The 25,579-nt window shown below is 41.3% G+C and overlaps 1 protein-coding gene across 9 annotated transcripts in view, besides 1 other annotated feature; it reads left to right on the top strand.

Annotated features, from left to right (window-relative positions):
• GLUD1 (glutamate dehydrogenase 1) overlaps nucleotides 1-25,579 on the top strand; it is a 44,642-nt gene that overhangs the window by 15,443 nt on the left and 3,620 nt on the right. For 8 of the 9 annotated variants that reach the window (NM_005271.5, NM_001318904.2, NM_001318905.2 and 5 more), the window contains 10 exons: nucleotides 2,745-2,825; nucleotides 3,378-3,433; nucleotides 4,787-4,850; nucleotides 11,244-11,338; nucleotides 16,566-16,745; nucleotides 18,349-18,486; nucleotides 18,576-18,713; nucleotides 19,160-19,240; nucleotides 20,128-20,251; nucleotides 21,619-21,710. In NM_005271.5, the coding sequence (NP_005262.1) occupies nucleotides 2,745-2,825; nucleotides 3,378-3,433; nucleotides 4,787-4,850; nucleotides 11,244-11,338; nucleotides 16,566-16,745; nucleotides 18,349-18,486; nucleotides 18,576-18,713; nucleotides 19,160-19,240; nucleotides 20,128-20,251; nucleotides 21,619-21,710 (1,049 nt within the window). Of the gene's footprint in view, nucleotides 1-857; nucleotides 918-2,744; nucleotides 2,826-3,377; nucleotides 3,434-4,786; nucleotides 4,851-11,243; nucleotides 11,339-16,565; nucleotides 16,746-18,348; nucleotides 18,487-18,575; nucleotides 18,714-19,159; nucleotides 19,241-20,127; nucleotides 20,252-21,618; nucleotides 21,711-25,579 lie in introns of all 9 variants that reach the window. The other variant, NM_001318906.2, reaches the window with a different exon arrangement.
• Nucleotides 24,296-24,425: an enhancer, noted in NCBI's record as "active region_3703". NCBI's record gives its function as "activates an Ori minimal core promoter by ATAC-STARR-seq in GM12878 lymphoblastoid cells {active_cell/tissue: GM12878}" and the evidence as "EXISTENCE:reporter gene assay evidence [ECO:0000049][PMID:35858748]".

Raw genomic sequence — 25,579 nt, 5'->3', positions numbered from 1 at the left:
AGTGACCTGAGCGTAGCTCACTGCAGCCTGCAACTCCTGGGCTCAAGTGACTCTCCTGCCCCAGCCTCCTGAGCATCTTCGACTACACGCACATGCCCCCACGCCCAACTCAATTTTTTTTTTTTTTTAAGATACAAATGATTCATCTTAATATTATTTACAGTTTTTTTTTCCCTTTTCTGTGGGCTTTATCTGACTGGAAATTCTTTTTAAATTTTTTATTTTTTAAATTGACAAATTGTAGATATATATTTATGAGGTACAAAGTAATTTTATGATTTATGAATACAACATTGCATAATTAAGTCAAGCTGATTAACCTGTTCACCACTGGAAACAATTGCAAATAATTATCATTTTTTCTGGTGAAAACATCTGAAATTTACTCAGTGATTTTGAAATGTGCAGTACTTTTTGTTGTTGTTGTAGAAATGAGGTCTCACTATGTTGGCCAGGCTGGTTTCAAACTCCTAAGCTCAAGTGATCCTCCCACCTCAGCCTTCCAGTGTTGGGATTACAAGCATGAACTACCATGTTGGGCCAAATGTATAATCTATTATTATTTACTGTATTCACCATGCTGTGCAATCTATCTCGAAGAAACTTATTCCTTCTAATTGAGGCTTTGTACCCTTTGACCATCATCTCCCCGTCACCCCCATTCCCAGTTTTGTATACTTTGAGTCCTTTCATGATAGGTATGGAGGCTTATGGTAAGTTATTTAAAACTTAACATGTATGTCAAATATTTTTGTGGCCATAGCTTTTCTTTCTTTTTTAAATTTTAAGAGTCAGAATATTCGTATATTAATTCGGCATGTATTTGAGTGCCTAATATATGCCATTTTCTATGTTAGGAACCAGGAATTAAAGCAGTGAACATAACAAAGTCTGCCCTCGTGGTGCTAACTTGCCAGGTAGGGAAGCCAGATAATAAACACATGTATAATGCAAAGTCAGTAATAATAAACGATATGAAGAAACAAGGTAGGAGAGGCAGGAAAGTGGGAGTGAGAAAGAGGTGCTCTTTTAAATACAGTGGTCAAGGGGAGCCTCTCAGAATGAAGTTTTTAACAGAGACCTGAATGAAATGGGGGAGTGAGCTATACAGATATCTGCTGTGTGCTGGAAAAATTACCTGTAATTTTGCATTCCAAAAGTTTAATAATGACTACATTTATTTCACAATTTGAGAATCAGTTATACACAAGATATAGTTCTAAGCACATACTCCTCTAAATATGATTTGTTTGTACAGTAGACCAAATAAGTATGTTCAGCTTAGAATATGCTCTTTATGGTCATGTGTACAATAAATAAATTATCTTAAAACATTATCAATATTAAGGTTGATGTTTTCAGAAACATGTAAGAAAGCTAGCTTTTAAAATTGACTAGGGAAGTTCTCTCAAACTGCCAGTCCATGAGATATTGTATATTTTCTATCTGAAAAACTTTTAATCTCAGAATTCTTTAAAAGAGCTCTCCCTGGGGCTCCCATTACTTACTTGTGACTCCCAGTGGAAATCGTACCCAGCCCCTCGAGAGGGGCTGAATCTGTTGGGAGTGGGAGGGTAGAAAAAATGCTGCAGCTTCTTGTGGGTATCCTTCACACACAAACACCCAGTGCCCCAAGCACTGTGCAGTCAAACATCAACCCCACTCAGACTTTCCTCCTTGGGATTGAGAAGCAATGGATTATAGAGAAAGAAAGGTGGATTAGCACTCCAAAACTTTGAAGAGTAATTGACCAAGACCCCCAAAGCCAAAGCTGTGGGCATCCCCACTTCCAGTATACCCTGTACCAACACGTAATGGCTACTAGATACAGGGGCACTAGTACCTACCTGTCTGCTTGGCTACCTGCCCTCTTTGCAGAAGTGGTGAAGGGAATCACTCAACCTCAGAAAGGGAAAATGGCTTTCTCATTTTCAGATTGAAAGAGGTTGGCAGTGGGTGAGGAGAATAACAGGTAAGGATCTCTTTTAATATACCCATTTGAAGCCAAAACCTCTGTTTAGACATACGGTATTTTGAACCTGGTGATTATTCATTGCCCATGTTTGTGAATTATCAGAAAGCAGAATTCTTGCCAGGCATAGTGGCTCATGCCTGTAATCCCAGCACTTTGGGAAGCCAAGGTGGGAGGATCACTTGAGCCCAGGAGTTTGAGACCAGCCTGAGCAACATGGTGAGATCCTGTCTCTACAAAAAATTCAAAAATTAGCTGGGCATGGTGGTGTGCACTTGTGGTCCCAGCTACTCAGGAGGCTGAGGTGGGAGGATTACCTGAGCCTAGGAGGTTGAGGCTACAGTAAGCCATGTCTGTGCCACTACACTCAGCCTGAGCAACAGAGCAAGACCCTGTTTCCCACCCCTACCCCCCCAAAAAAAAGCAACCTGAATTCTTGAACTCCCTGCAACCAGGTCACCCAAACCAAAGGTAAAAGGAACATAAAAAAGCCTTCTGGAAAGTGTACAGAAATTCATTGCAGGGTGATTTTTGTCTTGTGAAATCATAGTTACTGTTATTAGCAGGTTTTTTTAACGTTTTATATTCATTTTTCATGGTGTTCTGATGTACAAGCTGCTTCAAGTGTTTTTGGACATAGCTTGGATGTAAAATGTAAAAAGTGGATATTTTCAATTTGTAGCTTTCTTTTTTGAAGCTTACTTAAGTTTGTTCTAAATATAACCCCTTCTTTCTCACCCACCCCAACACATTTTTTTAAAAACACCACCAGGTATCCGTTACAGCACTGATGTGAGTGTAGATGAAGTAAAAGCTTTGGCTTCTCTGATGACATACAAGTGTGCAGTGGTTGGTAAGTGATCGCCTTTCTTGCTGCCTAATGAGAACTCTGGGGAAATATGTTTACACACATGTTACTGTTAAGATGCTGTAGAAATATACCTTATCAGAACTGATTTTTTTTCAAGTTGTAATCTTTAAGACCTGCATCATTTTTCAATTAGTCTAAATTAAGATATAGCCTTTTTTTTTTACATGGGGGATTTTTTAAAATAGGAGATAATTGGATTTTAAGTCTAGATCTTTGTTTTCAATTCCTCAACACATTCTGTAAATAAGACCAAATTATAGTAGAAGGAGAGTAAATAAGCTATTATCTTTTAGAAGTGGTAAAGAGCACTGATTAAATATATATTAGAACTTGGCTAGCCAATTTTATTGAACAATTTCTGTTCAACAAAATGTTGTTTAAAGTACAGTTTAGAAAATGATGGTAGGTTTATTTCTTGAATTTTCAGAAATTCAAGCTTAAAGCATCACGTTTCTCTAATATTGTGTGGTGCTTTCTGTCATTTTACTTTTTTAACATTTATATGGAATAGCAACCATCAGCCTTCTCTTTCAGATGTGCCGTTTGGGGGTGCTAAAGCTGGTGTTAAGATCAATCCCAAGAACTATACTGTAAGTATGAAAGTGATATTTGTTTTTTATTGTTGTTGTTGTTTTTGTTTTTCTGAGACAGAGTCTTCCTCTGTTGTTCAGGCCGGAGTACAATGGCGCAATCTTGGCTCACTGCAACCTCCGCCTCCCGGGTTCAAGCAGTTCTCCTTGATCCAGTAACTGGGATTACAGGTGCACGCCACCATGCCCGACTAATTTTTGTATTTTTAGTAGAGAGGGGATTTCACCATGTTGGCCAGGCTGTTCTTGAACTCCTGACCTCAGGTGATCCACCTGCCTTGGCCTCCCAGAGTGCTAGGATTGCAGGCATGAGCCACCGCACCCGGCCTCAAAGTGACATTTGTGCACACAGTGCATTTATGAAGGACTTGAAATTACTGGGCTTCTCTGTATCCCCCACTATCAGTGAGATCAGTAGTCCCCATTGCTTTTCAAATGGAATAGAAAAATGTAAAGAATTAACTCATAGCGTGTTTTGCCATATAAAGATCACCTACTTAATATCTATATCCTTTATCATTTTCTGTTTCATTTGGTTTTGTTTTTATGAGTCTTTTGTTTTACTTTTTTGCTTTTTGTTTTATTATTTTCTTACTTAGTTAAAACGTAATTAATATCTTCACTTATATACTTATACCCATATTTATATAATGTCTTCACTTAGACACTTATACCCATATTTAAGAAATACTGTGATCTGATTAGCCAGGCATAGTGGTGCACACCTGTAATCCCAGCTACTCGGGAGGCTCAGGCATGAGAATTGCTTGAACCCAGGAGGCAGAGGTTGGCTGAGATTTCACCACTGCATTCCAGCCTGGGTAACAGAGCAAGACTCTGTCTCAAAAAGAAAAAAGTATTACTGTGATCTGAAGTTTTTATGTCAGGATCTGATTCTAGTGACACATATCTTAACTAAGACTATAAAAACCTTACTTTTTATCCAGTCAGTTCCAAGTTAATTCAAACTGATTGTCACAATGCTTTACATAATACTAAATTATCTATATACAAACATAAATGCATGATTTTTATTCTCTTTAAAATTCACCATTTAAATGGAATATAATTATATTTAAATTAATCTTAATTAAGATTTAGTGTATTTTTCAGTGGGGAATTAATAGAATGGGAATTTGAGCCCTAGTTCTACTATCTTGTTTTTATAACCTACTTTTTTGATCCCTTATTTTGTCACCTTTAAAATGGCAATGCCTACTTTATGAGTTGTTCTAAGGATTACATGAGAAGACATATGAAAATGTACTATAAATAGAAAATAAGATGCTAGCTATAATCTCAAGCGATTTTTATATCAATTTTTTCTTTTGTTTTTGTTTTCTTATTTTACAGGATAATGAATTGGAAAAGATCACAAGGAGGTTCACCATGGAGCTAGCAAAAAAGGGCTTTATTGGTATGTGTAGCCACATAGTTTTTGGTATAAAGTGGGAACATCTAAAAATTTTTTTTTTTTTTTGAGACGGAGTCTCACTCTGTTGCCCAGACTAGAGTGCAGTGGTGCGATCTCGTCCGCCTCCTGGGTTCAAGCAATTCTCTTGTCTCAGCCTCCCAAGTAGCTGAGATTACAGGCATGTGCCACCACACCCAGCTGATTTTTGTATTTTTACTGGAGATGGGGCTTTGCCATGTTGGTCAGGCTGGGCTTGAACTCCTGACATCAGGTGATCCACCCATCTCGGACTCCCAAACTGCTGGTATTACAGATAGGAGCCACTGTGCCCGGCCTCCTACTATTTGTTATAGGAGCTTTTGCCAAACATACAACATTTCTGAAGATATTAATCTTTGTTTGCTTGATGTTTTTGTATCTTACTATTATCTGTGTTTATATTTTCTTTGTGCACAATCTGAATATTCTTTTTATGATATGTAAGTATTTGTCATGTACCCTTTAATTTTCAAGCAGTTTAAACCTATATTTTTTTTAATCTAGAAGGCTTCTAATTTGTTTGAATAGAATATGCATAACTACTTAATAGAATGCTTGCCCTATCAGTATAGTTAATAGAATGTTAATACTTACTGCCGAGCGTGGTGGCTCACACCTGTAATCCCAGCACTTTGAGAGGCCGAGGCAGGTGGATCACGAGGTCAGATCGAGACCATTCTGGCTAACGGGGTTTAGTAGGAATCCCATCTCTACTAAAAACACAAAAAATTTGCCAGGCGTGGTCGCGAGTGCCTGTAGTCCCAGCTACTCAGGAGGCTGAGACAGGAGAATGGTGTGAACCTGGGAAGCAGAGCTTCCAGTGAGCCAAGATCACGCCACTACACCCCAGCCTGGGCAACAGAGCGAGACTCCGTCTCAAAAAAAAAAAAAAAAAAAAAAAAAAGAATGTTAATTGTTACTTAATAATAGAATACTTGTCCTATCAATATCAGTATAGTTAAACAAAATAAGGTCTACTTAAATAGAAAATAAAGTGTATTTTTCTCTACTTTCCTTTCTTAGCATTTCCCCCACAAGTTCCCATGAAATTAAACTATAAAGGCTGGGCATGGTGGCTGGTGCTTGTAATCCCAGCATTTTTGGAGGCTGAGGTGGGAGGATCACTTGAGCCCAGAAGTTCGAGACCACCCTGGGCAATATTACAAGACCCCATCTCTACAAAAAATGAAAACATTATCCAAGCGTGATGGTGCATGCCTGTGGTCCCAACTACTAAGATGGGAGGATCCCTTAAGCCTGGGGGGTTGAGGCTGCAGTGAGCTATGATTGTGCCACTGCACTCTGGCCTGCCACACTCTGGCCTGAGCAACAAAACGAGACCACATCTCAAGAAGAAAGAGAAATGAAATAAAGCTATTCGGATTCATTTTTAGGAAAAAAAAGTCATGAAATAAATGTCATGAAATAACCTAATATAGAAATACAGTAAGTATAGGTAACTCTAAAACTTGACTAGATTTGGCCTGTCTTTGATAATAAAAGGCATTTGGGCCTTTGATGTGCCGCATACCCAGCACTACTGTGAACTTGTGCATCCTTACATGGAGTCTGTTAACGTAAGTTAATATGAGTTAACTATCTCGCTCACACTTTTATAGGAGTGCCTACTGATTCTGAGATATGGTGAATTGAAGTCATCTTCAGCCTGTTAATAGCCTTCATAATTTTTAAAAGGTCTTTCCTCTTCCCCTAAATCTCAAACACATTTTATAGTCTTGAATGGTTTCAGACTTTATTCAGTCATATTTGTCACCCATATCTGCAATATCTCCAGCTTAATTTTATCAGACTTGACAAGTACCTAATAATTCCAAAGGTCAAAAAGTGATTCATTGGAATACTGAAAGAAAACACAGCTTAAACTCTAGTAATTTGATTTATTTGCTTAATGTGCAAAAGCCTCATTGACCCAGGATGCAGTTAAATTGACGTCTTGGCCCAGAAAGCTTTGAAGCCTAGGAGGTAGGCAAAGGGAGTTTTTTCTCTCACTCCTCGGCAAACCTTCAAATTTGATGTTATTTATCTGTTATTTCCTGACTGCCCATTCCACAGAGAGTGTCAGATTGAGGCTCAGACCTGAGCCTGAACCCTGATCCTGTCACATGTGTGTTTAGCATCAGCTTGTAAATTTCTGCAAAACAAAAGAAAAAAAGAGGCTGGGATTTTTATAGGAATTTCATTGAATCTGTACACTAATTTGTGGAGTATTGCCATCTTCCCCACCCTCCCCAAAAAGGTTTTGTCCTTTCACCCAGGCTGGAGTACCAGACAGCAGTCACTGCAACCTTGACCTCCTGGGCTCAAGCAATCCTCTCACCTCACCCTCCCAAGTAGCTAGAACCACAGGGGTGTGCAACTGTGCCTAGCTAATTTTTTAATTTTTTGTGGAGACACGGTCTCATCACGTATCCCAGACTGGTCTCAAACTCCTGAGCTCAAGCAGTCTTCCCACCTCAGCTTCCCAAAATTCTGGGATTATAGGCATGAGCCACTGCACCTGACCAGTATTGCCATCTTAACCATATTAAGCCTTCCAATGCTGAATATGAGATGTCTTTCCATTTATTTAGGTCTCTTGATTTCTTTCAATGATGTTTTGTAGTTCTCATTGTAGAAGTCTTACATAGAAGTCTTACAACTAAATATTTTACTCCTTTTAATGCTATTGTAAGTGACATTGGTCTATAGTTTTCTTATGATGTCTTTGTCTAGTCTTTGTATCAGGACAATTCTAGCCTCATGGAATGAGTTGAGGAGTGTTCCTTCCTCTTCTGCTTTTGGAAAAGCTTTTGAAAGGTCAATGTTCATTCTCTTGTGTGAGTGTAAATATCACCTAAGTTCTGCAGGACCCTGATGTCTCCACCCTTCTCATCCCCTTATATCTCTGTGTACCAAAATTACCCTTTCATCTCCTACTCTATAGTCACATGCTGTTAGAAAAGTTGCTTTTTTAAAAAAGATTAACTTCTGCCTCATACCTGTTCTCTATATAAGAATTTATCTGTTAGGCCAAGCATGGTGGCTCATGCCTGTAATCCCAGCACTTTGGGAGGCTGAGGCGGGTGGATCACCTGAGGTCAGGAGTTCGAGACCAGCCTGGCCAACATGGTAAAACCCCGTCTCTACTAAAAATAAAAAAAAATTAGCCAGGCAGGTACCTGTAATCCCAGCTACTCAGGAGGCTGAGGCAGGAGAATTGCTTGAACCTGGAAGGCGGAGGTTGCAGTGAGCCGAGATCATGCCATTGTACTCCAGCCTGGGCAGCAAGAGTGTAACTCCTTCTCAAAACATAAAAATTAAAAAAAAACAAAAAGAATATATCTGTTATTCAGGAACTACTTGTTTTTTGTTTTTGTTTTTGTTTTGAGACAGAGTCTTGCTGTGTCACCCAGGCTGGAGTGTAGTGGCACGATCTCAGCTCACTGCAAGCTCCGCCTCCCGGGTTCACGCCATTCTCCTGCCTCAGCCTCCCAAGAAGCTGGGACTACAGGCGCCCGCCACCACGCCCGGCTAATTTTTTGTATTTTTAGTAGAGACAGGGTTTCACTGTGTTAGCCAGGATGGTCTCGATCTCCTGACCTTGTGATCCACTCACCTCGGCCTCCCAAAGTGCTAGGATTACAGGCATGAGCACCGCACCCGGCCTCAGGAACTACTTGTAATCTGTGCATCCCTATACATTAGTTTTGTATGGAGTAGAAAACTCATAAGCCTAATAACTAATACCTTGTGATTTTGTTTTGGATGGCAGAAGCTGTTTCACGTTTAGCATGTATAGACTGTTTTTGAGAAGGATTTTATCATTACGTGTTTCTGATTTACAAACCATGTGTTTCAGACTTGCCACTTGCCAGAGCCCTTCTCCAATTGGAATTGTTTTTTGTTTTTTTGATTTTGAGACAGAGTCTCGCTCTGTCACCAGGCTGGAGCTCAGTGGCGTGATCTCGGCTCACTGCAACGTCTGCCTCCCTGGTTCAAGCAATTCTCCTGCCTCAGCCTCCCGAGTAGCTGGGACTATGGGCATGTGCCTCCACCCCCAGCTAATTTTTGTATTTTTAGTAGAGACGGGGTTTTACCACGTTGGCCAGGATGGTCTCTCTCTCTTGACCTCGTGATCAGCCCACCTCGGCCTCCCAAAGTGCTGGGATTACAGGCGTGAGCCACCGCGCCCAGCCGGTTTTTTGTTTTTTAAATGTATTGTTTAATCAAGACAGGATCTCACTATGTTGCCCAGGCTTGTCTCAAATTCCTGGACTCAAGCCATCCTCCTGCCTCGGCCTCCCAAAGTGCTGGGATTACAGGCATAAGCCACTGCCCCGGCCTAGTTGGAATTGTTGTTTGAGGTAACAAGCTTATTTAATCCTAAAGCAAGCATAATCCTTTTGTAGTTACCTCTAGAAAGATTCAGGACCAATTTGTCATTTGTACATTGGGAGAAAAGGAGTGGTTAAACAAAGTTGTGCTGACCTCCAGCAGAGGTATGTCACTAAAGGAATGGAAAGTGAGCAAATAGGAGCTGGAGAGCGCCAGAGAGCCCTTTTGTCAGTGGATGAGGCTAGAATATGGCATTAATCTTTCCAAGTGCAGTGGGGATTAGACTTCACAAGATTTTGTTGTTGTTGTTGTTGTTGTTGTCGTCATTGACTTCATGAGATTTTTAAGGTGACTAAGGGAAGGGTGCTAAGACATAGAGTTACAGATTAGGTGGGAGGTGGAGAGGGTCAGGGTATAAAAAGCGATCCTTGACCATTTCAAAGTTATCTTATACTAGCCCTGTATCCATTACATCACAGCTTGTTCAAAAAAGTTTATTATTTAGGCCTTGGGCCCCTGAGTTATAGAAAAACATTACAATATACTGATTCTGTTGACTAAAAAGTAAAATTTATAGGAATAATTGGGTACAGCCCTTAGAACTTTAATTATTTTATGGGGAGACATAATAGTTTAATAGTTTAACTTTTTTTTTTTTTTTTTTTGAAACAGAGTCTTACTCTGTCGCCCAGGCTAGAGTGCACTGGCGCGATCTTGGCTCACTGCAACACCCCCCACCTCCATTCAAGCGATTCTCCTGCCTCAGCCTCCGGAGTAGCTGGGATTACAGACATGTGCCACCACGCCCGGCTAATTTTTGTATTTTTAGTAAAGGCAGGGTTTCACCATGTTGGTCAGGCTGGTCTCAAACTCCTGACCTCGTGATCCGCCCTCCTCAGCCTCCCAAGGTGCTGGGATTACAGGCATGCGCCACTGTGCTCAGCCTAATAGTTTAACCATTTTTTAAGTTGCGTTTTTCGTTTTGTAAAAACGAGTTTGTATTTTACAGTTGAAATAATATAGAAAGTTATAAACTATATATATGGCAGGGAAGAGAAAAAAATTATAAGTGGGAACATGTTATACATGCTGTATGAAACCTGCCTTTTTCCATATGTATGTTCATGATAATTCCAAGTAATTTACATGGATATAAGTTACCCTTTTTAATGGCTGTTTAGTACTTTGCATAGGTATACCATATTTCATTTAATTGGCATACAAGATAATTAGGTTGTTTTTATTTTTACTGTGTTTGAGAGGAGTATTTCTGCACCTTTACAGATTTGAGTGAGCATCACTTAACATGTTTTTATCAGAGATCTTACTGTAGCCGTCAGTAGTAGTATAGTCAGTGATTCCTGTTATTGCCTGTAAGCTAATTTATTAGCCTAAACCTTTAATTTCCTATGATCTGAGGAACTGAAAGCTAAGGCCTAAAACCTTATATGTGCTGAATGTCGAATAATAGGTCACAGCCACATTCTTCCACAAGTAAAAATAATATGGGGCTTAACACAATTGCTTTAGCAATATGACCTTCTCCCCTTTTTCTCTACTTGATAAGGAGGGCTTATACCCCCACTAAGCAGCATGTTACTCTGCTATCTCATACATGTCAACTCCCTAACCATAATAATCCTGCTTATATAGAACACAATGGTACTGTTATCTCTAATTGCATGTTAGTGAAATGAGGTCAAGAGAGGCTAAACTGATTAACCTCTGGTCGCACACTCAGAAATCCTATGGAGTGGCTTATATCTGTTGTGCATAGCTAACTTCCAAACATACAGCAAGTAAATGCCAGAGGGAGAAATTATTATGTAATGTTGTATGTGTCTGCATTTTATAGTGAAACATTTAATGAATATTTCTATGACTTTGATTAGCTACCTAAATGAGATCTAAAGTTTTCTAGCCATGGTAACTTGGTTATTACAGAGACTTACAAGGATCTTTGTGTTCGAGAAGAATTTTTCTTAAAAACTGGTGCACTCCTCTTTCCCTGTGCCCCCGCAGGTCCTGGCATTGATGTGCCTGCTCCAGACATGAGCACAGGTGAGCGGGAGATGTCCTGGATCGCTGATACCTATGCCAGCACCATAGGGCACTATGTGAGTACCCACTGGAAGCCCCGAGGCTTCTGCATTTGCTGTCTACAAGAATTAACAGTTTGACTGATTATATCAAAAGTTGAGAATCCCTGGGTTTTTCTCTCATTCAATCATAATCTTGATGTGCATATTATTTTATGTCTACTTGTCTATTCTTAAATCGTAATGAACACAGATTGAGCTTTACTTATATGCTGCCCTATACTTGTCACTGGAACAGGACCAGGGCAGCCCACTGTGCTAAGACACTAGAACGTACATCAAGAAGCATCCAATTCTGATTTTTCCCTCAGAGGGCTTCCATTTAAAGAGGAACTAAGGTGCATAAGCAGATAAGGTATGGAAATAATGTAATACAACAGTGGAGATTATGAATTCTGAAATAAGACTTTCTAGAGGAGATATTTGGGCTAGACCTTGAAAATGGGTAGAATATGAACATTTAGAGATTTGGAGGATAAGAGGAAGAGAAACAATAGCGTTCAGTTTGTCTGAAGGTAAGGCATATTTATAAAGGTAATAGAAAGTAAGAGTGAGGGCTGGATGCAGTGGCTCATTCCCATAATTCCAGCACTTTGGGTGGCCAAGGCAGGTGGATCACTTGAGCCCAGGAGTTCGAGACCAGCCTGGACAACATGGGGAAACCCTGTCTTTCCAAAAAATACAAAAATTAGCCAAGCGTGGTGGTATACACCTATAATCCCAGCTACCTGGGAGGCATGCTTGAGCCCAGGAGGTTGAGGCTGCAGTGAGCTGTGGTTGCACCACAGCACTCCAGCCTGGGCAATAGAGTGAGACCCTGTCTCAAAACAAAAAAAAAGTAAGAATGAAGAGGTAAATGAACCAGGACAAAAACACCAAGCCCCAGTGTTTGTGTTTTACATGGTAGTCAGTGGAGAAATTTTGCTGATCCTTCCTGGGGAAGAATAGGCTGGCAGCAGTGTCCAGCTGTGCTGGCGCCAGGAGAGAACCTCCTATGGTGTCAGTGCCTTTCCACCAAGTCCAGGAGCCAGAGGACCAGGAGAGGAGCATTGCACATGTGAGGCACATGACAGAGAGACTCAGCAAAACTGGATTGGATATATGTGGAATTAAGGAAAGGGACCAGGCTGAGTCACAGAGAACCAGGAGAACCTGAGTCTGGGGACTGAGCAGAGGTAGTACCACAGAACTGAACATGAGAGGAAACTTAACTCCTGTCCCTGAAAGGGGTGCAACCTTAAAAAATGAAACATTTCAGGAGTAGGAAGAGAAACAGAGTCAAAAAATACATTTATGCCTACTACATGCAGGGCCATGTGTAAGCAAGGTATTCACTACAATTGGGATAAATTGCTAGAAGTTGTTTTGAAGCTATGAAAAAGAATCACAGGCCCATCCAGTCCTTTCAGTCCTTTCAAGGTAAGGTCAGAAAAAGCCTCCTAGGAGATAAAACCTTCTGGTCTGCACTTAGACGGGTGTGTGGACATGGACTAGGGTAGGGGTAGTGGCAAGTGTTTGGAACAGAAGGAATTACCTGAGGGAAGGTTCTGAAGTTCAGAAGCTGGGTGAACTTGGGAGGATAAGGACTGACTACTGTGGCCAGAGTTGAGAAAGAGAAAGGTGGGATAAGAAAGGCCAGTAGAAAAAAGGGTCAGGCCAGGTTACTGCTTGGTAGGTGACCATGAGAACTTTGGTCTTTGTCCTGAAAACACAGGGAAACAGCAAAGAGCTGGTTTCAAGCAGGTGTGACTCAGCTAAGTGTGCATTTGAAGACTTGAGGGCAGGAGACTACTACAGGGGCCCGGACTGCAAGGGGATATGAAGAGGGAAGCAGGGCATGAAATATAGCCTCCAACTAAGAAAAATGGCACCGGAGAGAAGCAGAAAGAAGACAGCTTGAAAAGTGGCTGTTACCCAGAGAAAAAGGTTTTTTTTGTCTTTTGGCATGTTTATTGGCTGTAAGACACAGATTTACCGGTGCAAGAGATAGACAATGCTGAAGAGATGCAGGCTGGTAGAGGTAGTGAAGTCCCCCAGGGGAATGAAGGCCTGGGGAATTCTTTTCATAGTGAAAAGATGGGCCTTGGAGAAGAGGAAGAATGTGGAAATGGGGACATTTCCTGAAGTGATGTCATGCTGTGGCTGGGAACATGGGCAGACCACCTGAAGTCCAACCCTGGCACCTTCACCCATCAGTGCTGTGACTTGGGAGTCTCTGTGCCTCCATTTCCTCCTATGCAAAATGACAGTAGTAATAGTACCTACTTTGTGAGACTCATGAGCATTAGATGAATAATAATCTAATGCACCTAGAACTGTACATAGCCCTTAGTAAGTATCAGAAAATAAATATCTGTAGGTATTACATCAGGTAAATTATACAACCCCCTGAAATAAAACAGGAACGATATAGACCCTTCAAATAATTGTGGTTTCAACTGCCCTTCCCAAAAGGACAGTTTTCCACCTGTCACCTTTTTATGCATCCTTCCCTTAGCCCTTGATTTTAGATTTCTTATCACTTGAAGGAAAACTGTTCACCAGTATAGTTCAAGGGGCCGTGCTTCACAGGACTTTCTCTTGCTGTTAGCACTGAGAATGAGCTACAAATAACATACTGCCCATTGGTTTGCACTATTCAATATAGTGTCTTGCTTAAAAAGAACAAGAGACCAGCTGGGCATAGTGGCTCACGCCTGTAATCCCAGCACTTTGGGAGGCGGAAGCAGGTGGATCACCTGAGATCAGGAGCTCATTTAGCAATGAGCTCTGGGTGTGGTATTTTTTTTTTTTTTTTTTTTTTTTTTTGAGACGGAGTCTCACTCTGTCACCCGATCTCAGGTCACCGCAACCTCCGCCTCCCGGGTTCAAGCAATTCTCCTGCCTCAGCCTCCCAAGTAGCTGGGATTACAGGTGCCTGCCACCATGCCCAGCTAATTTTTTTGTATTTTTAGTAGAGACGGTGTTTCACCATGTTGACCAGGCTGGACTCAGGTGAAGCAACTATACTGGTGAACAGTTTTCCCTCTTTAAGTGATAAGAAATCTAAAATCAAGCCCTAAAGGAAGGACACAGTTGTTTTTGTTACTCATTTCTAGATGTGAACTGAAACGTGCCGCCCTCTTTGTCCTAGCCCCACCTAGAAGTGCAGTGTAGGTGGGAGAATGTATTCTTCTCTGGGCTTTCAGGACCATTACGTATGCTGGGGAGCCTGGCAGTTGGCGCCAGGCCTGACCCCAGACAGTATTTCCTTCAGCTCCAGCATTTGCATTCTCACTGTTTAAAAGCATTTGGCACTCGGTTTGCATTTCTGTATTCATAAGTGTTAATTATTCATGAAAGCAAACTGTGGGAAAACTACTAATTCTATTAATCACTCTACTAGACTGAGTTTTTCTTCCTTGCTTTCATCCTTTTTGTTGGTAATTACACAAATAATATAATTCTAAGTTCTCTGTGTAAAAATATTTAAACAATACAGATAAAGAACAGATCACTTTTTAATTCAGCCAGCTGGAATGTTAGGGATATGTTGGGAGTTAGGGGTTTGGTGTGAAGTAGGGCATTTTATTTTGTTTACATGGAAAGCAAATTGCTTCAACAAATTTATTATTTTATACTTTTGCCACTGACTTAAAATTTTATATGAATTTTCATTTTATATTGATTGCCTATACAAAATAAGACTGTCTCTAGTTTCTCCTGCTCCACCGATGAGTTTACTCTGCAGTGTTCTCGTGGCCGTGCTTATAGTATAGTTGATGTCTTGGAAGGGAAGCCCTACTTAGCCCAATTCTTCTTTTTTCTAATTACACCTGTTTCTGTTTCTGAACAAGAATATACACACATCTTCAATTGAAAGAGGACAGGCCAGGCGCGGTGGCTCACGCCTGTAATCCCAGCACTTTGGGAGGCCGAGGCGGGTGGATCACGAGGTCAGGAGATCGAGACCATCCTGACTAACACAGGATGTTACTCTCTACTAAAAATACTCTACTCTACTAAATACCCCATCTCTACTAAAAATACAAAAAAATTAGCCGGGCGTGATGGTGGGTGCCTGTAGTCCCAGCTATCGGGAGGCTGAGGCAGGAGAATGGCGTGAACCCGGGAGATGGAGCTTGCAGTGAGCCGAAATTGCGCCACTGCACTCCAGCCTGGGTGACAGAGCGAGACTCCGTCTCAAAAAAAAAAAAGACAAAGAAAGAGGACAGAAAGATGGATGGTGAAGACTGTTAACCCCCATCTCCACTTTGCAGAGCTAACCACTGCTACCAAAGATACTCTGCTCACACAGAAGCACAGGACTCTTACCCACACATACCTTTTTAAAAATACTTCATTAAATACTTTCGTTACTCTACTCTTAGATGAACTTGAATGTCATGTTATATTAAGTATCAAGTTATATTAAAAACTTCCTTTTTCAAAAGTGGCAGAATACAACATTGAGTCTTCCCATCCAAGACAATTGTAAAGCCTCTTCCTGTCTCAGGCTCTGTTTTGGTGACATGCTCAAGTCTTATAGTAGATTTTAAGACACTCATGAATGGGATGTGTATGTACCTTGATTTAGTAGTGCTTAAATACTTGTTGAAGGAATGATAGCTTTAGGCTGAGCTAGCTCTACTTTTGTGATGTTATTTGTACTTACTTGATGTTCAATCCCTACACTCTTGTTTTTTCTGTCAGAAAATATGGTCTACTTTGCCGGGCGTGGTGGCTCACGCTTGTAATTCTAGCACTTTGGGAGGCCAAGGCAGGGAGATCACTTGAGGTCAGGAGTTTGAGACCAGCCTGACCAACATGGAGAAACCCCATCTCTACTAAAAACACAAAATTAGCCGGGCGTGGTGGCACGTGCCTGGAATACCAGCTACTCAGGAGGCTGAGGCAGGAGAATCGCTTGAACCTGGGAGGTGGAGGTTGCGATGAGCCAAGATCTCACCATTGCACTCCAGCCTGAGCAACAAGAGTGAAACTCCGTCTCAAAAACAAACAAACAAACAAACAAAAAAAAAAACAGAAAATATAGTATATTTTATTGTATTTTCTAGGAACAGAAAGCTGAAAAAGTGAGTCTTGTCTCTATTGGTAAAAGTATACCTTAAATACATTCATACACACACTCCTAATTAGCATATTTTTGATTAAATGAGAATGTGCTTTGACTTTAATTCATTATGTTCCTTCAACAGAGAAATTGGACTTGACATTTCATTCTTTCAATTACCCCCTCTTACAGGATATTAATGCACACGCCTGTGTTACTGGTAAACCCATCAGCCAAGGGGGAATCCATGGACGCATCTCTGCTACTGGCCGTGGTGTCTTCCATGGGATTGAAAATTTCATCAATGAAGCTTCTTACATGAGCATTTTAGGAATGACACCAGGGTTTGGAGATAAAACATTTGTTGTTCAGGTAAAAACAAAAACAAAAAAAGTTTCCTTAATAACTGATAGACATTAAGTAAAGTTTTCAATGTTTTTAGAATTGTAATTTTAAAATTAAGTTATCTCAAATCTCTTAAATTTTAGAGTGGTGGTTTTCAGAGTAATAGATATTTTGTTTTTTGAACCTTGGTATGATTCATGTAACTAGAACTGATTTAAGTATCTCTCAAGTACATGTGAAACTGTTACCAACTTCAACCAAACTATCACCAAATTCAACCAAAATATTGGTTAGTATTCAAACTTGAAATTATAGCTAGAAGGGCAAGTCTCTTAACATAATTTTCTAAGTTTTGTAAGTATATAGAAAGGTTTACACACTGACCCAAATTTGTTTCATGTGTTAACATGTATTTTACTTAGGAGAATCTTAATTAAGTTGAAATTACTTGAAAATAGAAGTGGTGGCTGGACACAGTGGCTCATGCCTGTATTCCCAGCACTTTGGGAGGCCAAGACGGGTGGATCACTTGAGGCCAGGAGTTCGAGACCAGCCTGGCCAACATGGTGAAACCCTGTCTCTACTAAAAGTAGAAAAATTAAGCCGGGCGTGGTGGCTCACGCCTGTAATCCCATCACTTTGGGAGGCCAAGGTGGGCAGATCACGAGGTCAAGAGATCAAGACCATCCTGGCCAACATGGTGAAACCCGGTCTCCGCTAAAAATAGGAAAATTAGCAGGGTGTGGTGGTACACGCCTGTAGTCCCAGCTACTCTGGAGGCTGACGCAGGAGAATCACTTGAACCCGGGAGGTGGAGCTTGCAGTGAGCCGAGATTGCGCCACTGCACTCCAGCCTGGGTGACAGAGCCAGACTCTGTCTCAAAAAAAAAGAAAGAAAAATTAGCTGGGCATGATGGCGGCACCTGTAATCCCAACTACTCAGGAGACTAAGGCAGGAGACTCACTTGAACCCGGGAGGCAGAGGCTGCAGTGAGCCAAGATTGTGCCATTGCACTCCAGCCTGTGTGAGAGAATGAGACTCGGTCTCAAAAAAAAAAAAAAATTGTATTTCTCCAAATTAGTGACATCCCTTTTCACAACATAGGACATCTGATCATCAAGGACTGAGGACCTGGTGGTGTACTTAACACCACTGCCATTTATTGATTGATTGAGATGGAGTCTCACCCTATTGCCCAGGCTGGAGTGCAGTCTCGGCTCACTGCAACCTCCACCTCCCAGGTTCAAGTGATTCTCCTACCTCATTCTCCCAAGTAGCTGGGATTACAGGCACGGACCCCATGCCTAATTTTTGTATTTTTAGTAGAGACGGGGTTTCACCATGTTGGCCATGGCTGATCTCGAACTCCTGACCTCAAGTGATCCACCTGCCTCAGCCTCCCAAAGTGCTGGAATTACAAGCGTGAGCCACCATGCCCGCTCATCACATTCTTAAACAGAGAATTTTATTGTTGAAGAGAAACCAGTTAGTACATTGTTTCTTTTGGCAAAAGAATTTTGAGAATTGCTTCTAAATAAACAGAGTATGGATTTACATTGGTCAAAATATGACTCTTGCTGTCTATACCAGGACTTTAATTTTTGTGTTATGGGTAATTGTTCTTCACAGGGATTTGGTAATGTGGGCCTACACTCTATGAGATATTTACATCGTTTTGGTGCTAAATGTATTGCTGTTGGTGAGTCTGATGGGAGTATATGGAATCCAGATGGTATTGACCCAAAGGAACTGGAAGACTTCAAATTGGTATTAATACATTTTTATAGCATAGACACTAAATATAAATATTTAAAACTCTGGTGCAGCTATTAATTGTGATTTTCAATCAATGGCAGCAACATGGGTCCATTCTGGGCTTCCCCAAGGCAAAGCCCTATGAAGGAAGCATCTTGGAGGCCGACTGTGACATACTGATCCCAGCTGCCAGTGAGAAGCAGTTGACCAAATCCAACGCACCCAGAGTCAAAGCCAAGGTGACAACATTATAGAAACCAGAACCAACATTATCAATGTGAATGACGTTAGGGGGGTCATAGAAGAGTCTGATTGAGTTTTCTCTTTCTTTTTAGCAGCTTTATTGGCACATACTGCACATACCATACAGTTCCCCCATTTAAGGTACATAATTTAATGGCTTTTAGCTACCGGCACAGAGTTGTGCAACCATTACCAAAACAAACGCATCTGCCTGACACTCCTGTAAAAAAAAAAAACAAGCAAACAAAAAAAAAACCTAGATAAATAGAAAAGTGAAAGGTAGTTTTATACACTTGGCAGAGAAAAATAACCTCTATTTAACTTTAACTGAAACTGTGCTTCTCCCCACAGCCCCTTGTTCATATATGCACATCTCTTGCCCTCAGTGGAGGGGATTTGACGGTGGTGTTCGCATTTCTCTATGTTCCTGACTCTCTTGCAGATCATTGCTGAAGGTGCCAATGGGCCAACAACTCCAGAAGCTGACAAGATCTTCCTGGAGAGAAACATTATGGTTATTCCAGTAAGTCATCTATATTTATTAGGCTTTATATGTACTTAGAATCATAATAGTCTTTTGCAAGGAATTTGGAGGAAGAGAGGAATTATTAGTCTCCAAGCTCTAGTGAATTCATCTTTTTCACTTTTGAGAAAATATAGTAGAAGCATGGTTAATTCTAAGCCTGTTAATTTTCACTTTGATCGAAACATTTATTCCAATTTCAGGCTCTTTACTGAATGTCTTTAGCCTTCTAAGAGTCTGGTTATATAAATGTGTACTGTGTTAGAAACACTATTCTAACTAAAGCTCTTAAGATTTTCTATATGATTCCTAACCTTATGCATTTCAAGTGCCCTTTCCAGCTTTACTCAGAAAACTAATATGAGGAACACGTGCTCAGGTTTTTTAGCAAGTAAAAATGAGTCTACACCAAAAAGTTACTAGAAATTAATGTGGGCTTGGAATATATTTTAAAGAACCCCCTTTGCTGAAAGCACTTAAGACATTTAATGTAACTGAAATGGGCTACCCTTAGGTAATAGGAGAAAGAATCCTGTCTTCTGAGAGGCCCTGTGGACAGTCCAGTCCAACTGGTTGGTGGGCAAGCCATTTAGTCTGAGAACTAACTTCTGGTAGAGAAGAGGCTCCAACCAAAGATTATTAACTTTCCTTGATTAATAAGCCAAAAAATGATTTTTTTTTTTTCCTAAATAGAAAAAGCCTTAGATGGAATTGGGTGGGATGGGAAGGAGTGTTAATTAAGTGTGAAATTCCTGATACTGGCTAAAATATATTTGCGATATTTAAAGTCCAGTCTACCTTGGTATTGAAATTAAGGTCTTAGGTTCATTTTCAGCTTTTACGAAAACCATCATCTTCTAATTTCTTTGTCTTATTTTTGTGCATAGGATCTCTACTTGAATGCTGGAGGAGTGACAGTATCTTACTTTGAGTGGCTGAAGAATCTAAATCATGTCAGCTATGGCCGTTTGACCTTCAAATATGAAAGGGATTCTAACTACCACTTGCTCAGTGAGTATCGATAATCTTGTTCGCCAAAACTCATCTTTTGAGCCAGCTGAAAGGCTGTAAAAAGGTCCACTTAAGAGAACTGATCCCTTTGGGAAAGAATTGAGTCTCAGAAAAGAAAATAATATTTTGTCTCATGAAACTTAGACCAAAAATGCACAATGTCTTTCTGGATATTAACTCTCCCATATATTATATCCAGAGTTTTATTCTGTGATGTAATATTCACAGAATATAATCTACATTTTTTTTTTCTTTTTTTGAGAGGGAGTCTCGCTCCGTCGCCGAGGCTGGAGTGCAGTGGCACGAACTCGGCTTACTGTAGCCTCCGCCTCCCAGGTTCAAGCAATTCTCCTGCCTCACCCTCCCAAGTAGCTGGGGCTACAGGCACTCACCGCCACGCCCGGCTAATTTTTGTATTTTTAATAGAGACGGGGTTTCACCATGTTGGCCAGGATAGCCTTGATCTCCTGACCTCATGATCCGCCTGCCTCAGCCTCCCAAAGTGCTGGGATTACAGGCGTGAGCCACTGTGCCCAGCCAATAATATTTTTTTAAGTGTGATTTTAAAACTCCACTGTCGATACTAATTTCTGTCTCTGGTTGCTCTTAGTAAAGGCCTATCTAGTGTCAAGAATTGTTTTTGAGACTCCTGATGAGAATACTTGTTTTTCTTTGACTAGAGTAAGCTCCACAGTTAAGAGTAGAATTTCTCATCTAGTTGAAATAAGACCAAGACCTCCTACTGAGCTTCTGTACTCAGCCCACTGTGAGAATCTGGGTGAAGTGTTCCATCTATTTCCTTTTCTTTTTCCCCCAGCGTTTTCTTTTTAATAGAGCCAAGGAAAAACCCTGGTAATGGGTGTTATGGAAACAGAGCAGTGACCTAAATTCACATTTATATAGGAAATTGGCAATGTGTTTTATTCCTTCCTGACTGAGTTTTAAATGATTAACCCTTTTATGTCATTAAAACTCTGTATAAGGCCAGGCGCAGTGGCTCACGCCTGTAATCCCAGCACTTTGGGAGGCCAAGGCAGATGAATCACGAGGTCAGGAGGTCGAGACCATCCTGGCTAACACGGTGAAACCCCGTCTCTACTAAAAATACAAAAAATTAGCTGGGCGTGGTGGCGCGCACCTGTAGTCCCAGCTACTCGCAAGGCTGAGGCAGGAGAATGGCGTGAACCCGGGAGGCAGAGTTTGCAGTGAGCTGAGATCACGCCTCTACACTCCAGCCTGGGTGACAGACCACGACTCTGTCTGTATAAGTTTTTGGGTTACAGTTATAGTTTGGGACTACTTTTGATTCTACTTTTTTTTTTTTTTTTCTGTTAGCAATATCTTGATCTCTTGTTATTTTTTTGTAGTGTCTGTTCAAGAGAGTTTAGAAAGAAAATTTGGAAAGCATGGTGGAACTATTCCCATTGTACCCACGGCAGAGTTCCAAGACAGGATATCGGTGAGTGTGGTGACCCCACAGTTGTACTTCACACATGCTCCCTGCTCTTTCCTTCAGACAGAGCTGGTTAGATGGATTTCATCTGCGGCATAGTCTTTGTAATTAGCTTGACAGTAAGTGCGTGACATGTGTGTTTTGTACCTTTCCTTTTCATTACATTCTAAAACTGGAGTAAGAATCCTACTGACTACTAACAAATATAAAATAAATAAATTTGGTATTTTTCACGCACGTGTTTTAACAGTGAAGGATTATTATGTATTTTAATTATTTTAAGCTTCAGAGAAATAGGAAGAATTGAAAAGCAAGCATTAGATTGAACTATATGGGAGTCCAAGAGTTTGAGACCAACCTGGGGAACATAGTGAGTCCCCATCTCTACAAAAATAAAGAAAGAAACAAGAGGCCAGGCATGGTGGCACACGCCTGTAATCCCAGCACTTTGGGAGGTCAAGGCGGGTGGATCACGAAGTCAAGTCATCGACACCATCCTGGCCAACATGGTGACCCCGTCTCTACTAAAAATACAAAAATTAGCCAGGCGTGGTGCTACACGCCTATAGTCCCAGCTACTTGGGAGGCTAAGGCAGGAGAATCACTTGAACCCGGGAGGTGGAGGTTGCAGTTAGCCGAGATTGCACCACTGCACTCTAGCCTGAGCAACAGAGAGATACTCCGTTCCCGCCGCCGCCACCCCCCTCCCCCCGCCAAAAAAAAGAAAGGAGGGATGGAGGGAGGGAAACTTCTTTACCAGTAAATGATGGAAGACAGGAAAAACAAAAGTCCATAACACATAAGCCTGGGGGAAAAATTTAACCTCATTGTTAAAGAAATACAAATTGAAAAAGAGTTTTTTTTTTTTAATGTATTAACAAAAACAATGGATCTTATGTTCTCCATATATGTGGTGAAACAGTTGTACCTTTATTCTAGTGACGGTGTAGATTGGTGCAGCTCTTTGGAAAATGTGAAGTTATTAAAGTGTTCCTGCCCTTTGGTGCTATGACAATCTCCCCTCTGGGAATTTATCCTAAGAAAATAATTCAAAAGAGGAGGAACCACTCCATGCACGATGATGTTATTGAAACTATGTGTAGGCCAGGTGCGGTGGCTCACGCCTATAATCCCAGCACTTTGGGAGGCCAAGGCAGGTGGCTCACCTGAGTTCAGGAGTTCAAGACCAGCCTGGCCAACATGGTGAAACTCCGTCTCTACTAAAAATACAAAAAATTAGCCAGGCATGGTGGCACGCACCTGTAGTCCCAGCTACTCGGGAGGCTGAGGCAGGAGAATCGCTTGAACCCAGGAGGCAGAGGTTGGAGTGAGCCAAGAAATGCACCGCTGCACTCCAGCCTGGGCAACAAGAGCGAAACTCCATCTCAAAAAAAAAAAAAAAAAGAAACGGTGTAAACAGTTTTTAAATTTGGTTTTATTTAAAGTTTAGGAGCAGGGAAATGGCTGACTTATATCTTATAATACATCTTAGGTAATATTCACTCATAGTTTAAGAATATATTACAATGGGTAAATTATATCTTCTTTTTTTTTGGTTTTTTTTTTTTTTTTTTTTTTTTTGAGACAGAGTCTCGATCTGTCACCCAGGCTGGAGTGCAGTGGTGCGATTTTGGCTCACTGCAACCTCTGCCTCCCAGGTTCAAGCAATTCTCCTGCCTTAGCCTCCTGAGTAGCTGGGATTACAGGCGCCCGCCACCACACCCAGCTAATTTTTTTGTATTTTTAGTACAGACGGGGTTTCACCTTGTTGGTCAGGCTGGTCTCAAACCCCTGACCTCGTGATCCACCCGCCTCGGCCTCCCAAAGTGCTGGGATTACAGGCGTGAGCCACCGCGCCCGGCCGTCAATATATCTCCTTATGAAATATTCAGTGATGGAAAACAGTTCTGAGACTATATTGCAACATGGGAAAAAGTTAAAGATTTTGTTGTAAAGAAAGAAAAAATGCTTTACCCATTCTAGGTACTAACCGTTCCCCTCAGTAAACTTCCTATTTCCTAGAGTGATGTCTTTGTTCTGGTCCTTTTATCTGGAATACACTGATCTCCTCCCTGCTTAAGTGTCACTGCAGTTCTGTGGCTCTCTCTGAAAGTCTCCTGTGTGCCACTGTTTCGTACATAACATCCATCCCAAGTGGCTAGCAGTGCATCGGAAGGACTTGCGCTGCTACTGTCCCTGCCAGAGGGCTGTTCACCCCTCCCTTTGGTCACCCCACTGCCCAGCATATGCCTTGTCAGTTAAAAAAATAAAAGTTTTCTCAAGCTCTCTCCCTCTAGTTTCCCCCTGCCCCTGTTTGGCACTATCAGGACCCACATCATGACCCTGCCATGTTTCCACTGTCCCTCATCCCCCCAGTGCCCTCACTTCCCTCCTTATCTAACTTAAATTCCGTGCTCCATCATTACAGTCACTCCCCAGTCTTGTTTCCTTTGTCATACTCCTTTGTTAACACCTAAGCCCTGATTAAATCCCAGCAGCCCTGATTAAATCCCTGATTAAATCCCGTGCCTCTACCCTGTAGGAGGCCCTGCTGGCAGTTCACACCCTGACCACTAACCTCAAGTAGGCGCTCAGAGCTGCCCAGCAGTCATACTGCTTTTCCGTGTTTCATTCATTCTCCCCGTCTCCTGAGTGATTACATCACATTTTCTCCTCTTCTCACTGCCCTGCATTCCAGCTCATGACCTGCTATCTGTTCACAGATAAAACTGATGCAGCCTGGGAGCTTCCGCATCTACCCAGCTCCTGGTACCTGTACCCAGTCCTGTGTCATCTCTCTTCGAATAGATCAGCTCTTTGTGCTTTCATTTCTTAGGTCCAGTTCTTGTTGTGGGCATTGGATGGTTTTTCCTCAGATACACTGCTCTAGCAAGTCTGCTCCTCTCTCCTACATCAGCAGTTTCCCTCTGAGTCATTCCCCTCAGCTTACCAAATGCTGTTTTAAAAAATGTATAAATCTTAATCCCACTTCCCCTTCCAGTATTGCCATTTGTTTCCTGTAGAGCAAACCTCCTTGGAAGAGTTGTATATACTCAGCCTCCAATTCTTCTTTACTTGAACCTACTCCACCAAGACTATTCTTGTCAAGACAGCCAGTGACACCAGCATTGCCAAATCCAGTAGCTATTTTTCAGTCCTCATCTTGCTTGACCTATCAGCAGTTCTTGTTACAACTGACACTCCCACCTTGAAACATTTTCTTCTCTTAGCTTCCAGGATACCACATTCTCCTGGTTTTCTCCCTACCTCACTAAACATTTCTTCTCAATTGCCTCTTGCTGGTATCTCTTCAACTCTTCACTCTCCTAACATTGGAAGGCCTGCGTCCCTAAACCACTTCTCTATCTAGATTGAAAACTTCAATGATCCACTTAGCCTTGTGGTTTGAAGTCCATGTATATACACTCTCTTCCCACTACAATATAAAGTCTGTGAGAACAGAATTTTGATTTTATTCTCTACTATGTCCCCTAGTACCTGGAAGAGTATGTACTCAGTAAGTGTCCAAACTATATCAGTGACCCATTTTAAGTTTTTATCGGGCATATGTGTTTTGTAGCTCTGTATGTCACCTTAAGAGTGGTAGTGAGTTAATTGTCCTTAATTTTTTAGAAAGCATTCCAAGAAACAAATTAGGAAAGAGAGAACTGACTTGATGGTGGAGGCCCTGAGTCATATCCCAGCTCTGAAAATAGCTATCTGTAACCTTGGCCATCTTCTCTGGTCCTTAGTTTCCTCATCAGTAAAATTAAAACGCTGCTGAGATCTACACAGCTTTAAAAGTTGCTGGCACTACTGAATAGATACACAGAATTCTACCCCAAAGCCGCTATGGGGTTTAATCAGATTCCTTT

This window comes from Homo sapiens, chromosome 10 (genome assembly GCF_000001405.40).
Source record: "Homo sapiens chromosome 10, GRCh38.p14 Primary Assembly".
NCBI lineage: Eukaryota > Metazoa > Chordata > Mammalia > Primates > Hominidae > Homo > Homo sapiens.
This window is presented reverse-complemented; position numbering and strand designations above follow the sequence as displayed.